This window comes from Homo sapiens, chromosome 12 (assembly GCF_000001405.40).
Source record: "Homo sapiens chromosome 12, GRCh38.p14 Primary Assembly".
NCBI lineage: Eukaryota > Metazoa > Chordata > Mammalia > Primates > Hominidae > Homo > Homo sapiens.
In genome coordinates, this window is record NC_000012.12 from 28,763,963 (window position 1) to 28,781,494 (window position 17,532).

The 17,532-nt window shown below is 38.5% G+C and overlaps 2 long non-coding RNA genes across 3 annotated transcripts in view; one reads left to right on the plus strand and one right to left on the minus strand.

The window, feature by feature from the left end:
• Window positions 1–17,532, minus strand: part of LOC105369711 (uncharacterized) — an 81,818-nt gene that overhangs the window by 50,830 nt on the left and 13,456 nt on the right. The gene's annotated exons all lie outside the window — the stretch shown is intronic.
• LOC124902907 (uncharacterized) lies at window positions 6,837–15,887 on the plus strand. Its single transcript, XR_007063256.1, has 4 exons — window positions 6,837–6,894; window positions 8,620–8,743; window positions 12,396–12,570; window positions 15,859–15,887. It is a non-coding gene; the product is annotated as an uncharacterized LOC124902907 (long non-coding RNA).

Below are 17,532 nucleotides of genomic sequence, written 5' to 3' on the forward strand. Positions count from 1 at the left end.
ATAATAAGAGCTATTTATGACAAACCCACAGCCAATATCATACTGAATGGGCAAAAACTGGAAGCATTCCCTTTGAAAACTGGCACAAGACAGGGATGCCCTCTCTCACCACTCCTATTCAACATAGTGTTGGAAGTTCTGGCCAGGGCAATCAGGCAGGAGAAGGAAATAAAGGGGATTCAATTAGGAAAAGAGGAAGTCAAATTGTCCCTGTTTGCAGACAACATGATTGTATATCTAGAAAACCCCATTGTCTCAGCCCAAAATCTCCTTAAGCTGATAAGCAACTTCAGCAAAGTCTCAGGATACAAAATCAATGTACAAAAATCACAAGCATTCTTATACACCAACAACAGACAAACAGAGAGCCAAATCATGAGTGAACTCCCATTCACAATTGCTTCAAAGAGAATAAAATACCTAGGAATCCAACTTCCAAGGGATGTGAAGGACCTCTTCAAGGAGAACTACAAACCACTGCTCAAGGAAATAAAAGAGGATACAAACAAATGGAAGAACATTCCATGCTCATGGGTAGGAAGAATCAATATCGTGAAAATGGCCATACTGCCCAAGGTAATTTACAGATTCAATGCCATCCCCATCAAGCTACCAATGCCTTTCTTCACAGAATTGGAAAAAACTACTTTAAAGTTCATATGGAACCAAAAAAGAGCCTGCATCGCCAAGTCAATCCTAAGCCAAAAGAACAAAGCTGGAGGCATCATGCTACCTGACTTCAAACTGGAACAGAACAGAGCCCTCAGAAATAACGCTGCATATCTACAACTATCTGATCTTTGACAAACCTGAGAAAAACAAGAAATGGGGAAAGGATTCCCTATTTAATAAATGGTGCTGGGAAAACTGGCTAGCCATATGTAGAAAGCTGAAACTGGATCCCTTCCTTACACCTTATATAAAAATCAATTCAAGATGGATTAAAGACTTAAACATTAGACCTAAAACCATAAAAACCCTAGAAGAAAACCTAGGCATTACCATTCAGGACATAGGCATGGGCAAGGACTTCATGTCTAAAACACCAAAAGCAATGGCAACAAAAGCCAAAATTGACAAATGGGGTCTAATTAAACTAAAGAGCTTCTGCACAGCGAAAGAAACTACCATCAGAGTGAACAGGCAACCTAAAAAATGGGAGAAAATTTTCGCAACCTACTAATCTGACAAAGGGCTAATATCCAGAATCTACAATGAACTCAAACAAATTTACAAGAAAAAATAAAACAACCCCGTCAAAAAGTGGGCAAATGACATGAACAGACACTTCTCAAAAGAAGACATTTATGCAGCCAAAAAACACATGAAAAAATGCTCATCATCACTGGCCATCACAGAAATGCAAATCAAAACCACAATCAGATACCATCTCACACCAGTTAGAATGGGAATCATTAAAAAGTCAGGAAACAACAGGTGCTGGAGAGGATGTAGAAATAGGAACACTTTTACACTGTTGGTGGGACTGTAAACTAGTTCAACCATTGTGGAAGTCAGTGTGGCGATTCCTCAGGGATCTAGAACTAGAAATACCATTTGACCCAACCATCCCATTACTGTGTATATACCCAAAGGACTCTAAATCATGCTGCTATAAAGACACATGCACACGTATGTTTATTGCGGCATTATTCACAATAGCAAAGACTTGGAACCAAGCCAAATGTCCAACAATGATAGACTGGATTAAGAAAATGTGGCACATATACACCACGGAATACTATGCAGCCATAAAAATGATGAGTTCATGTCCTTTGTAGGGACATGGATGAAATTGGAAATCATCATTCTCAGTAAACTATCGCAAGAACAAAAAACCAAACACCGCATATTCTCACTTATAGGTGGGAATTGAACAATGAGATCACATGGACACAGGAAGGGGAATATCACACTCTGCGAACTGTGGTGGGGTGGGGGGAGGGGGGAGGGATAGCACTGGGAGATATACCTAATGCTAGATGACGAGTTAGTGGGTGCAGCGCACCAGCATGGCACATGTATACATGTGTAACTAACCGGCAGAATGTGCACATGTACCCTAAAAGTTAAAGTATAATAAAAAAATAAATTTTCCATAAAAAAAAAAAGATTAAGTTGAATGGCCTGCAGATTCTCACCTGAAGTGGATTTTTGTGAGGAATTTGAATTTGAAATAGTGCAAAAGTTCATTTCACACTACCTGTTGAATGACTGTGGATTAGAGGAAACCTAGTTTTTCTTGGTTAGTGTATTGAACCAGCTATTTTTGAGGTATTTGTAGCTCAAAAAATTTTTTTTAGCTGAATCCAGAAAGCTTTAATTATTCCATCTATTCCTAGGGTGGTGTTATCTTATGTCTATTATGGATTTTGATGTTTTTCATACTAGGATTTAATTAGGCAACAGTGTGTAGAAGATTTGCTTCCTTTCCTTCTGCACAAGGGAAATTATATAACAGAAAAATTATTTTGTGTAAGAACAGATACTTTCTCATTTGTAGCATGGTAAGAAGTGTGGTTTCTAAATATCCAGATGGAGAATCAGGAATGGAGAATGGCACTTTGAATTTTCCAGATCATTTGGAACTGAAGCCTAATAGACCAGAAAGAGAAATTTTCATCATGATATGCCTAAGTTAATCTGATTCCTATTCAGGCCAGACCTAAAAGGGTTTTTATTGTATGTTGTCTGCCAGGAATAGCTATTAAACAGAGGCGGCAAAGTATAATACCAATTATACTATAAATCTAGTATAAATACCAATTTTGGTATTCCTTATGTAATTAGATATTTGGGGCTATTTTATTAGTGAAAGAAATGCCTGAAAATGCAGGTGCTTGATTTGTAATTGCAAATGGATAAATAAACGTTTCAGTAAGAAGAGCTGAGACAGTCTTGAAGCAGTCTAATTCATCTGTGAAATGTTTTTCTTGTTATGATTCCTTAGATAGATTTCCTCTATTATTTTTTAACTATAAGGATGAAAAAATTTTAAATATTTTTTAAAACCCAAACAGATAGATTTAATTTAAATTACTTGTATTGCAGGTGATGAGCTGTGCAAACTGTGAGAAGGAAGTACCAAAGGAGCCTTTGTTCAAGGCTGAAAACAACTTAGAGAGTGATTAAGGGCACTTGCTTCATATAATTTCCTCTTTGTGTCTCAATTCTTCAAGGAAAGAAAGGCTATTGGTCTGCTGGCTCAGTGTCCTTTATATCCATAAAATAAGAAACATTTCTTTTTAGCCATATTTATTTGACAACTACACTCAAATGGTGTTGCTTAATTGTCATTGGCAATGATAAATGAATGAATCCTGCCTTAGACCATTTGTCACAATCTCTATATGTATATGTTGCATCTCTCTAAATTGACTTTCAAAGATAGAAGCTACATTTTAGCATAATGTTCTCCAGAAATTGTAGTATATGAGGTGATGGGTATGTTAATTAGCTTGATTTAATCGTTTCACATTGTAAGCATTGTCATAACATCATATTGTACTCCATAAATATATGCAATTAATATTTGTTAATTACAATAAAGTTTTAAAAATAAGCTACATCTTCATCACTTTTGGCCTCTCTTGTATATTTAGCATACTACTGAGCCAAGAGCAGGTACTCAGAAATTATCAAGAAAGAAAGAATTCCAACAGAGTTAAGAAATTCTAGTGGTCTCTCTCATTCTCTAAGATACACTTAGATCACAATACCTTGAGAAGAGATCTGTAGAATATGATGAAAATTATGAGGATTTTAGGTTAAGACTGTGGGAAGCATCAGCAAAAGCAGGATAGGAACATTGAATAGTTATTAGAGGAGATGGAAAATAATGAGTAAGACAGTCAAAGTAGGGTTTAGGAAATGGGCAGTTTAGGATCCAAGGAAGAGGAGTTTCAGAAAGAAGAGAATTGTCAGTTATGTCAATGTCCCAGAGAGGTCAAGTTAAGGAAGGGAGTCTCAAAATAGATCCTGAAATTAGCTAAAAAGGTCACTTTTGACCTCAGAGAAAGCTTTTTCAATAGAAGAGCTAACAGTAATGAGGTTAACAGTAGTGAACTAAAAATTGAGGGAGAATGGGCATGATGAAACATGAGAAAAGACATTCTTTCTGGAAGTTTTAAGTATTACAAGGAACAATTGGTGTTACTGGAGTTCACAAGAGGAAAAAAGCAGGGAAACGTCATGGAGAAGCTGTGAAGAGGGGAAGGGAAATTCATGACTCATTGGGAAAAGAGCATAAATAATAGTTTAAAATTCTACCCACATATGGGTAGAATAGGAAAGAGAAAAAGGAGAAAGACACTGGAAGATCATGGTGACAGAAGCAATACAACAGGATAATTTGTTGAGTGTAGGGAGGTTGGGAGGTAGATTATTTAGAAATGTCAAGTTTGTGTGATTAGGAATACAAACAACAGTGCCACGAAAAGAAATGGGGCACTTTAAAGAAAAGTACATTTTGCAGGAGGCAAGTAGTGAGATTATATAAGATCTATTGAATATGAGGTGCAAATGGAGCCTCTTGTTGTGGAAGTGGAGATGGCAATGGGAACTTTAGACTAAGGCAGTTATTTCATACCATCCATTCATTGTATCCTAGTGCTTAATTTCCTGGAATTTGAAGCACACAATGTCTTTAATTCACATTGTTGCAACATTCTTATTGCTACTCTTTATCAACTGATATCAAAGCACCTTTTCCAATCTACATCACTAATAGCCTTTATTGATAGTCATCTAATAATTTTCTACCACACAAAAGTACATTTCTGTTGTAATATCATATGTGACAGAGCCTAGACCACAAGTACCTGATTAAACATATCCCCTGACTACAAGACCCTCACTAGCTGCTTTCACTGGTGAAATCCTACTTACCCTTTGCATTAGTTTTCTTTTGCTGCTGTAACTAATTACCACAGCTAGTGGCTTAACACAACACAACTTTATCTTATAGCTCTGGAGGTCAGAAGTCCAAAATGGTCTCACTGGGCTAAAATCAAGGTACCAGCCAATACTAGGATTGTGTTCCTTTCTGGAAGAGAGAATTTGTTTCTTTGCCATTTGCAAATTCAAGAGGGTTCCCGCATTTCTTGACTCTTGGCTTCCTTTCATGTTTAAATTCAGCAATATGAGTTTCTCATATCACATCAGTCTGATACTGACCCTTCTGCCTCCTTCCCCAACTTTTAAGGACCTTTGTGACTACATAAAACACACTCAGATAATCCAAGATAATCTCCCCATCTCAAGGTTAGCTCATTAGCAGCCTTAATTTCATCTTCAACCTTAAATCTCTTTTCCCATAATAATACATATTTCTAGGTTCCGGGAATTAGGGTGCGGGCATTTTGGGGAGATCATTATTCTTAAGGATCACATTTAGGTGTCACCCCAAGCACATGATAACTCCCCAAGATAAAGTGAATCATGTTCTTCTCAGCTTTATTATTCCACACATAATGGCTACCTCTTTTTTTTTTTTTTTTTTTTGAAACAGAGTCTCACTCTGTCACCCAGGCTGGAGTGCAGTGGCATGATCTCGGTTCACTGCAGCCTCCTCCTCCTGGGCTCAATCAATTCTCCTGCCTCAGCCTTCCAAGTAGCTGGGACTACAGGCACACACCACCATGCTGGGGTAATTTTTGCATTTTTAGTAAAGATGGGGTTTTACCATTTTGGTCAGGCTGGTCTCGAACTCCTGACCTCAGGTGATCCACCCTCCTTGGCCTCCCAAAGTGTTGGGATTACAGCCATGAGCCACTGCGCCTGGCCAATGGCTACCTCTTATTCCATCTCTTAGCAAATTGTGCTGTGATTGTTTGTGTCACCAACTGACACCTTCATTCAGGGGAGCAAGGCCTTTGTTTTTCTTATTTATCTCTGTGTCTTCATTCCTCATCTACTTGCCTGGATTTCCATCAAAGTGTGTAGAAAACAGCAAGCTCTTAATAAAAAAAACTGTTGAGTTAACTGAGTGGAGGAAACAGAATATTGGTAGGGTTCTATGAGTTGGGTAAATTGTTTGCGAAGTGGAAGTGAATTTCAGGGCCATTTGGTGATAGGATAGGAATATATGAATGGAAGTCAGATAAATCTTTATCTTTGGAGACAAGGCTGGGAAATCACACTCAATGAAATAGGCACAAGAATTTAACACCAGGCAATGACTGGAATTTGTGTAATTTTATCTCATACTGTATTGTAATTTAGGAATTGCTTATTTATGAAATTTTGCTTCATTAGGAAGAAAGCCTAAAGTGAAAGTCAGGCTGAATGTACTAACATATCACAAAGAGGTACCATAATGATATGAAGTTGGGAAACCAATAAGTACATTTAGTTTGTTTGTTTTTAAGTATAGGTAACTAACACAAACAAGTAGATAAAAGAACCATCCCTGTTTATTCATCACTCCCAAGGGATATTGGTGTTTTGATTTAGATGATAAGGATAGTTCTGTTTCCTTCATAGTCTGAGCTGTCCCTTGGGTGGAGAAGGTCAATAGGTTGGGTTGTATAAGTATGACGCATATTTCCTTCAAGCAACAATCAATTTCCTTTTTTCGATTTTGTGCTTCCTACACGCCCTCTGATAAATAGTCTGGTCTCCCGGGGGAACCACTCACCAGGAAGGGAGTGCCCTGTTCAGATCTGACCAGTCCTGTTCCCAGCCCTGGTAGTGGTTGGACCACTGAAAATTAAGAAATCTGTGTCCTAGTTAATAGCTGTCTTCATGCGTGTTATTAGAATGAATCAATTTTCCAGAGCCTACTGGGCAGTCTAAGAAATAGAATGTACCTAAAAACATATTGTCCAAGACCAGCCCCTTGCTCATAACCAGCCCAGGAGGATGTAACCCTCTATGAGTCCTGTCTGTACTCAGGTATCTGTCTGTGAGTGCTACTGTGACAGTTAATTTTTTGACTAATATAGTTATACCAGCTAGCTGATGGTGTGATTTCATGTGGCAGGCAATAGATAGCCATTGTACCTTCTTAAATCATTAGGGAAGTAAGCATGGTGAAAGTGGAGCTTCAGAGGGATTTAATCTGACCTTGCTGTGTAGAAAGGATTAAAGGGCTACAAAAGACTGGGTAGTCAGTAAGGAGACTGTGAAAATATTTCCTGAAGAAGAGGCCCTGGAAGAGAGGGATGATGTTTAGACATTATGAAGGAAGAAACTGACCACTACCATGGATGTGGGGTATGAAGAACCAGTATCAGCCTAAGATGACTCTTTGATTTTGATTGTGGACACCAGCGTGTGGCTAATATGACAGAATAATTAATCAGAAACTTAATAAAGGTTTTGGTGGCCCCTAAATTAAAGGTATAAAATAATTTCAAATATAATTGTTTTTTGAAAAAAAGAATGTCAGGTAAACTGTTTTTTCCAAAAGATTTATTAGCAACAACTCATATCAAGGATTAATATCCAAACTTTTGAACTATGATTATCAGTTTCATTTGCTAAGCTCTCATTTGCTTTTTAAAAAATTAATTCATATTAGGTGAAAAATTATTTCAGGGAGCAACTGCAAAGTTCAATATAGTCTCTGACATACAGTGCTTAGTAGGAAACATGTTACTCATATCATTTTCTACTAAGAGAATAATAATGGCATTTTAAAAAATTCAATTGCCTATTGTGAAAGGCAACACTAAATGATGGATATGTACCAAGTCTCTTTCTAAGTTATTCTCATTGTGTATAATTATGCAAGAAATCTTTTGTAAAACCATGAGGAATTCTAACCAACACCTAAGAAGCTCGTGCTGTAGATGAAATCTCATCAAGTTTTTAGAGCCCTTGATGATGCCAACCCAGGTAGCATCTTTAGGAGACTTGTATTTCATTTACAATCAAAATCACATTAAATTGTGTGTAAACACTCTGGCTGGACTCCACATCCAATATTCTTTTCGAAGTCATATGAACACAAAAGTAAAGCTAAAATAAGTAAATATAATTCATAAAGAACAAGAGCCTCATTGTCTGGCTTGGCAAATTTACCTGAAGCTGTTCTCTTTCTCTTTCACATACACACTCTTTTTTTAAAAATCCTTAATTGAAAAATTGAGCCTCCGGCAGCCAAAACATACACTGCAAAGCTAAAGACGTTTGGGCATTGGCATTTCCAAGAACCTGGCACTTGTGACTGCTGTAGCTAGTTTTCACACTGTGAGGCTGCTTTTGATTTATTGCTGTCATAAAATGAGACTAGGTGTAGTGTTATGATGATTTGCGATTTGTTCCTAACTCAAAGGGCTCTGGTGGCCTCTTAAACTTATTAGAACAACTTCTATTAGGAAAATGGAACTAATATGACAGGATTCATTCCTTCAGGTCACACAGAAATGGTGGGGGGTTTGCCTCCTACGTGTGGGGTTTGAGCAAAGGGGGAGAATAGAGAGACAGAGGGAAGCAATGGGAAGCAAGAAGAAGAACGTGGCCCCCTAGATGCCCTTACTCTAAAGCATGCATTTTAGGGTTGTTGAGGTTCAGCAGCAGGTATTTAGGCCTTTCTGTGTGCAATTAAAGATATTTCTAAAAGATCATTTAAATCCTCATTTTATTTGCTCCTCCTTATATTTTTCACTCCCCTAGGAGGGTTTCAATGGGATGAGTTTCCTGCCAACACTTGACAACAATATCCGTGCTGGGTCATGGCAGTTTGATTGGACATCAGGGAGAAAAAGGCTCAAACGGGCCACCCAAGACCTCAGCATGAGTGAGTAATTGTAAAAGGCTCCCCACCACGTGTGTTAATACTTAGAAATACAGAACTAAATGTCAACACTTTTCCTCTCCCGAGAGTGCTCACATCTGAGCATGGAGGCTGAGGGTAACACCATGCCAGCCCAGAGTTCAGAAAAGAAAGTCTATGTTATCTGTTTTAAATCACTTGTCAAAAATGAGTTTTTCTTGAGCTCTCTTCTTAGGGGAGGAAAAATATAGAAGAGCCTTTGGCATTAGCCACTTGCCTTGGCATTGAGTAGCAGCCATAAACACTGAGAATGGGCTCCCCATACCAGAATGGCTAACACATCCATCCATCATCACTCAAAAACAAAGCATTTATAGGCAGAAGATTGGGTGGGTATTATTATTCTGCTGTTTTAATCTGCAGCAAGCCTCAAGAATTCTCTAAACCTCAATTTTCTCACAGATAAAAGGCAATGTAATCTTTTGTCCATCTAACAGGTTTGCCATAAGGAACAGTGATGCTGGTCCTTGTTTGTGTGTGTGTGTGTGTGTGTCTGTGTGTGTCTGTGTGTGTCTGTGTGTGTGTGTGTTTTCGTGGTGGAGAGGAACTTCTGCAGTGTCAAAGTGGCATGGCTGTAGCAAAGTTGGAAAAGAATCCTGTACCCACTGAAGAGCTAAATCAATACCATTCGTAAAATCTAGCCACTGCTAGAATCTTAACTATCACTGGAGAGACAAAAGAATTAAGTCCCTTGGCAACATGGCGAACAAGAAATTGCTTAGGGTCTTACACAACACAGCTTCTGCAAAAGAGAAGTTAAATTGTGGGAAACAGAGATATGCCATGTTTCTACTTTAATTCCCAAAGTTTTTCCACCAGTTAGTGTGCCAAAAGAAAGGATAGCACTGTTGGCAAACCCTAATGATAATCTTAGCTTGTCTGACCTCTGTCTGTGCAGCTTGGTGGTGATTCTGCATGACAGGCTGTGCAAAGCTCTCTGGCAAGGTTTGGTCAATTTTGATCAACCCCCCCCCCCAACACCCCCAGAAATAAATTGTCTTACCTCAATTTGGTTTAATGGAAATAGCTCTTTATCAGGCACCAGAATAACCCAGTTCTAGTCTAGCCATTAACTCTTAGCAAATCATTTACCCTCTTAGCCTTAGTTTTCTAGTCTGTAAGGTGTGTGTGTTTGTGTGTCTGTGTGTGTGTGTGTTGGGGATGAGGTGATAGGTGAGTGGGTAAACTAAGTGTTTAGGTTCCTTCTCAACTCAGACATTTCTGATGATGATGTCCTAATGCAGGGATGGTATAACAAAATAGATACAACATGCATAGTCTGGCAGATGAGGAATATTTTAAATAGCTACCAATCATTTAGCATTTTGTATGTGCAATAAACTTTTCTTAGTAATTTGGATGCATTATCTCATTTCCTCTTCTCAACAACCTTAAGAAATAGGTGGTATCACTACACATGCTTTACAGATGAGGAAACTGAGGTATAGAGAAAGATTGATTTTTCCAAATAACGTATCTAGGAAGTAGGAGATGCAACATTTCAGCCTAGGTCCTTTGGCTCCAGCGTTCATGTGCTTAAGCTCCAAACTATAGTGGCTTTCTGCAACATATTTGTAAAAGAATTCTAAATCATCAATGGAAATAATTTCATGATTGATGTTTGCCTAAGTCTTGGAAGTGTGGTGTGCTGAGTGTCCACCCATGCTGAGTGTCCGCTGATCCTGGGGATAGTATTAATTCTCCAGCAGCATTCCTGAATTATCGAACCCAGAGGGATATTTACATTTTTGGTTACAATGGCTGGGTACCTTCACTTAGGCCTCCTACAAGGCTAGGACAGACTGGGGGCAAATGCAGCCATGCTTCTCATTGAAAAGACTATGGCATGTAGCATTAGCCTCTCCTCATCTGAGATCAAGAACTTCAACATCTATTCTTCCACCGTTCACCTCCTTGCTTGCTATCTCCAGAATTTCATAAGTCTTTGGAGAGTAATGCAAAGTAATTCTTTTGCAGAAAAATAATGGCATCTTTTGCTTTAATGCAAGCAAACAGTAGGATTAAGACTAGATATTCTAAATGGTAGGAAGGAATTTGCAGTTGTAGAATTGTCTTCTCAGCAGTACAGCTTTGGCCCCTTGCATTTCCACATAACGTAGATTTACATATAGAGAAATAATATATATCTTGTCAATTCCCAGATGGTTTGTATATTTTCTTGGCTGGGTAGAAGGATACACTATGATGCCCAGAAATAAAATAGAATTCAAATCATGGTAGAGATTTAGCCTAAGTTTAGTATTCGATCAGTTGTCATTTTAAGGCACGTGTAAATAAATGAGGATAAAATAAGTATATTTTAAACACATGACTTATAAACAAGCACAATTATTAACTAGCAAGAGCTAAGATTGTATTAGGTATATAAAAGGTCAGTTTTCTCAGGAACTATCTTTAAGGCATAAAAAAGGACTAGTATAAACTAAATATGGCCTAACTTTAATGTGATGAACATCTATCTAGGTCATCAATTTGTTTCTCTCTCTTTTTTTTTTTTGTTTCCTAAAGTACCTGGTTCAGATCTCTTGTAACACTAACTATATTGTGCTGTTTATGTACATGTCTCTCCAATTAGATCCAATTTCTCAAAAGCAGAGGCTGTCTCTAATTATTGATATCCCCAGGGTCCAGCACAATGCCTAGCACGTTGTCAACAATTACTGAAAAAATGCTTAGGAACAAACTACACTCAAACCAGCATCATACGAAATGTATCACTGATACTCCAGAGCGTCACTCTGTGGTTGGCTATGGGTCGGCAGATCTAGGCTGAGCTCAGCGGGGAGGCTCTCCTTCAAGTGTTGGATCTAGTTATCTTGGCTCTTTGCTGTAGGCTGAGCCATGTTTGTTCCTGGGACCCAGGCTGAAGGTGCAGCAGCTGATTAGAAGAAAAAATTCCCATAGCGAAGGCAACAGCGCAAAAGGCCAAGCCCAATCACACACACACGTCAAACATTTGCTTATGTCATGCTCACTAGTATTTTATTGGTGAAAGGAAGTCACATGATCAAGCTCGATATTAATAAGATAGGGAAATACACTCCATGCTTAGTGGAAGAAACTGCAAAGCCACATGGCAAAAAGTGTGAATATAGAGTAGAGTAAAAAGATGGAAATAGTATTGCAGCCTACCACAATAAGTACTCAAAAAGGCTTATAGAATTAGTGAGTTCATATTTCTACCCTGTCTATTCATACCTTATTTGAGTTTCTAACTAATGACTACATCAAATGCTGTGGGGTTTTTTGCTCAGAATATTATTAGTGGTTGGTACGTATTAAATAATTTGAAGTCTAGAAATTATCCCCATAGAATCTGCATCAGAAGGATTTACTAAGGTGAGGTTGGAAGTTCTGCAAATATCCTTTCTGGCAGTGTGTAGCATTTCTTTTCATGATCCAGACCTGAGCCAAGAAGGAAAAAAAAAAGAATAAAAAATGGAAAAGATTTATAGAAGTATCCACTAGGATTTGAGCTCATAAACATGTGGAGTCTGTTGTTTTCAGTTCTTTTATTTAAGGGCAATGGTTTGAACCAGTGGGTGTAACTCACCTATTTCCATCCTAGGCATACCTAATAGATTTTTCTTTTCAGGACAGTGAACATGATATGCAAAGCTAGAACTCTAAAGGCAAAGGCCTTCCAGGAAGTTGCTGCCCTGTGGGACCTTAGCCTTCTTTCCAGAACCACTGAATGATTTCTGCCATGTTTCTATGAAGCTGACACACCTGTTTTGAATAACAATTTGCCGGTGCCTCTGGATTTCCAGGTGGTGATTTTTATTGCTTTCCAAAGCATGAAATTTGAACTTGAGTTTTCCCTGATGTCAGATTAGCAAAAGCACCTTAACAGTGAGCTTTTTAAATAAAGCAGCTATTTCTGGTGGTTACCTCATATTTTAAGAGCCCATTAGAACTATATAGAGAGTTTTCTAAAAAGCAAGGAGAAGAGTGTTAGGCATTTAAAGTTTCAACTGGTCATCTCTCTATTAAAATATTAGGTGTAGACTGGCTTACATACATTTTATGTTACAAACCATACATCTGATGATAGAGTAATAAGCCTCATAGGCTGGAGATTGAGTTTTTCTTGTCTACTTTTCAAAGAAACTCTGTATCTTTTATGTTGGAGGAGGGGTAGGGAGCAAAACAATTCTAGATGGCCCGGGTACCCTGCTGGTTGCTACAGTGTGAGGTCATTTTGCACTATAAGTCACAGAGCACAACATGATCCTTATAAACTCATAACCTGTTTTAGTGAACACCGGTAATTACAAACGAAACACCACACAGACTGAGATTTTTACGTGGTACCCTATTTTACCAAAGATGAAATGTAAAGCAAAGAAAACTGTGCAACTTGCCATGCAAATTGGTTGCCTGGGGTATAATTATCTGATTAGTCCTTGCAAACCCTTGCTTGTATGTGCAAATTTGATTTAGAGGCCTCTCATAAGATGATAGCTAACTGCTTTGTGTAAACACTGTCTTTACCATGCAGAGCCTACCGCTGAGACCATTTTGCAGGTCTAGTTATGGTTGTTCTATGTATGAAGCAATGGAGCTTGTGGGAATAGCAATGCAGCTATAAGCACACAAATAACTTTTATTGCCAACTACTAGGCTAGAAAAGTATGCATATGATCCATTATTATAGTTCTAACCTGTCACAAAACCTTTCCTACAGAAAATCAAAAGCATTTCTGGCACTTCCTTAAAGCTTATCTTAAATCAGTAGATTTCTAAGATTTTATTTCTATCTCCACCAAGCAATAACACCAGCTTAAAAAATGTGTTAGTAACGTGTTGTCAATTGGATAAGAGTGTAAAACATTATGGCCAGTGAGGCCCTAGCATTTGTTGAGTTCAACCATTTTATTTTTCAGCTGTCAAAACTAAAATTCAGGGAGCCAAGGGCCTGTGCAGGGAACAGAGTACCCAGACTGAATGCCAGATCAGCTGCCCCCTCTCCAATCCCCTATTCACCAATCAGGGCTGCCTCTCACAGTAAAACCACAGTGCAATTTGTATTGAATTTTATAGGTCTGCAAACTGAAACTGAGAAACATGTGACGGATGCAACTGGAAACTGGGAGCAGGAACGTGGCCTCCCCTATTCTTCACTCAAACCATTACCTTCAAAGACTTTATTTTTGTCCTTTCCTTAAGCATTCAAAAAATAAAGAAAAAAAGAACACAACGTATATATGAACATCTTTGCTGCACTCTAAAACTGTACTATCTATGCAACAGCCACCAGCCACCTGTGGCTATTTGGATTCAAATAAAATACAATTTTAAAAGTTGTTTTAAAACATCTTTCAGTTTCTAAATCCAGCTAGCCACATTTCGTATACCCAATAGCCACATGTGGCTAATGGTGACTGTATTGGCAGCACAGGAAATGGAACGTTTCTATCACCACTGAAGGTTCCGTTAGACGGTGCTGCTCTACCATCAGAAAATGAAATTTTGTGCTTTCTATTCTCTTAGACTGTTGTTGGGAACATTTTTTCACAGTTACTGGTGGTCTCAAAAATCTGTCCCTGAGAAAGTCCTGGTTTGTGTAACTGTGTCACAATTGTAACACCATTTTCGTGTGACACGTATTCACATGTGCAGTAGTTTGGCGTTTCAGGCTTTTCATGTTCATATCAATACTTTTCTCTTATCAAAACAAACAAACACATTTCCATTGTGTCCAATTTCTAATGGGAATTTAGGTCCTATACTTTGTTGGAAACATAACTTCAGGCTACTGAACGAAAAAAATTCATCACTTTCATTTTTCTTTTCTGCCAAAAAAATAATCAATATATTTAAATATGAGGCATTTAATCAGTTGTTAATTTGAGTTTAATGTTTGTATCAAGGGTAAGATCATCAGAAACTAAATGTTTATGTCAACTGGTGAAATAAATGATATGAAACCATAAGGACCAGTGAGATCATGTTGTCCTTAATATTGTATATTGTATGTATCAGAGATCACTGGATGGGTTTTATATTGACCCTTCTAGGTACACAAGTGGTTAAAAGTATTTGTGCTTCTGGAACTACTTATTTGTGCTTCTAGAACTGCCTGGTTGTTGCAAAGATTTACTCCATCTGACAACCTGAAATGTGTTTGATCTGTCAAGTTTTAGAAGAGAAAATAATTCCCTTGTGCTATGATCTACTAGAGTAAAAGTCTTTGTAAGGTAAGGAAAATTAAAACAGTGACAAAAATAACATGAGAACTGCCAGGACTCTGGAGCATAAGAAAAACATAAAAATAATTAAATATAGTTATTTGGTGGAGGAAATGATGAAAAATTTCCCACTTGAAGGCAGTATGCATAGTGATTAAAAGGACAGGTTCCAAAGTCTATCCTACTTACTGCCTAGATTCCAAAAGTCTGTTCTACCATTTTCTAACTGTGTGACTTTGAGGAATTTGATTAACCTCCCTGAGGCAACTCTAGAAGAGCCCTTCTAAGAAAGATGCTGATGCAAATGGGCCATTTTTGTGAAATAATCCTGTTATGGGTCAAATTGTGTCCCTCCCCAAATTCATGTGTTAAGGCCCTAAATTACAATGGGACTGTATTTAGAGACAGGGCCTTTAGAGAGGTAACAAAAGTTAAACGAGGACATAAAAGTGGGGCCCTAATCAAATAAGACGGTTATCCTTCTAAGAAGAGAAAGAGGCCGGTGTGGTGGCTCACGCATGTAATCCCAGCATTTTCAAAGGCTGAGGCGGGTGGATCACAAGGTCAGGAGTTCGAGACCAGCCTGACCAACATGGTGAAACCTCATCTCTACTAAAGATACAAAAAATAGCCGAGAGTGGTGGCATATGCCTGTAGTCTCAGCTACTTGGGAGGCTGAGGCACGAGGATTCCTTAAACCCGGGAGGAGGCGGTTGCAGTGAGCCAAGATAGCGTCACTGCACTCCACCCTACCCTGGGAGATAGACCAAGACTCTGTCTCAAAAAAAAAAAAAAAAAAGAGAGAGAGAGAGATAGAAGAGAAAGAGACACTAGAGAGCTATCTTTCTCTCTCTCTGCTCATCACAGACAAAAGAACTTGTGAAGATACAGGAGGAAGGCAGCTGCTTGCAAGCTGGGAAGAGAGGCCTTAACTGACACCTACAACCCTGATGGCATTTTGATCTTGGACTTCTAGCCTCCAGAACTGTGAGAGAATAAATTTTTTGTTGTTTAAGCAGCCCTGCCAGTGGTACATTAGTTTCCCCTTATCTGTGGTTTTGCTTTCCATGGTTTCAGGTCCCCATAGTCAACTGTGAAAATATTAAATGGAAAATTCCAGAAATAAATAACTCATAAATTTTAAGTTGTACACTATAGTATCCTGATGAAATCTCTTGCTGTCCCACTTAGTGCCCTGGGAGAGTCAAGCAGCCTTTTGTTGACCATATCCACACTTCATATGCCACATGCCCATGAGTCATCAGCATCATCTGCTCCTGACATCCAACCATCAACACTGTCCTGGCTCAATGAGTCAGGATCACCCTCAGCAGATGACGCTCCTTCTGACATAATGTCTGAAGGTCAATAGTAGCCCTAAACTATGCCACAATACCAGGTCATTCACCTCTCTTCATCTCATCACATAGGCACTTTATAATCTCACATTATCACAAGAAGGGTGAATACAGTACAATAAGATAAGTTGAGAGAGAGAGAAAGAGTGAGAGAGACCATATTCACTCACGTAACATTTACTTCGGTATATTGCAATAATTGGTCTATTTTATTATTATTGTTAATCTTTTACTGTGCATAATTTATAAATTAAACCTTACTATACGTATGTATGTATAAGAAAAAACATAATATATGTTAAGTTTAGTACTATCTGAGGTTTTGGGCATCCACTGGGGGTCTTGGAATGTATTCCCCTCAGATAAGGGGATGACTGTACCACAGTTTGTTTATTCATTCATCTATTGAAGGACATTCTGGTTGCTTTTAAGTTCTGGTCATTATGAGTGAAGCTGCTTTAAACACTCGTGTACAGATTTTGCGTGAAACTGTCGCATTTTCGGTACATTTGTGCTTTGGATCATCCTTCTGCCAGAAATGACTTTCCCTCTGTTATCCACTTGCTAAATCTATTTTCATAAATTGAATTCAATTTACTGTATTTTGTTGTGGTGGTCTGAGCAGACTAATACACATCACCAATCCAGTTTTCCACTGATGCAAGCCTCCTCGTGTTTCTGATCCCTGGTTTTCAACGCGTGCTTTATTTTCCTTTTTCTCTGTAGTCCATCCATCCAGTTTACCATCTACAAAGCAGCTTCTCCTTCTTGTGGGTCTGGATCATGTGCTACATGTACAGTGCAGAGCTGCCCTACCAAATTTGAGACATCCAGTATTGTTTTCCTGCACAGTAACTGTTTGTCCTCGGGAAGCAGCTGATTCTTTAAGATTTGTGTCTGATAGGATATCTTGAATAAATAGCTTTAGAAACTGTACTTGTTTCCTACATCTCAGACACCTCCAACCCCGTGCCTTCAAGCACTGCTGCAGGGTAGTTCTGAGACAGCAGGGATTAGCCTCTATAACCTATCTTTCCCTCTTTCATCCAAGACCCCGAGGACTAGCAGGAACTTCCCCTAATTAACACATATTCCCTTTGCCTGGTCCAAACAGGGGTACACTAAATGTTAAGTGAGACAAAGATGCTCAAAATGCAGAAGTCAGATTATTCCTTGAAGAGCT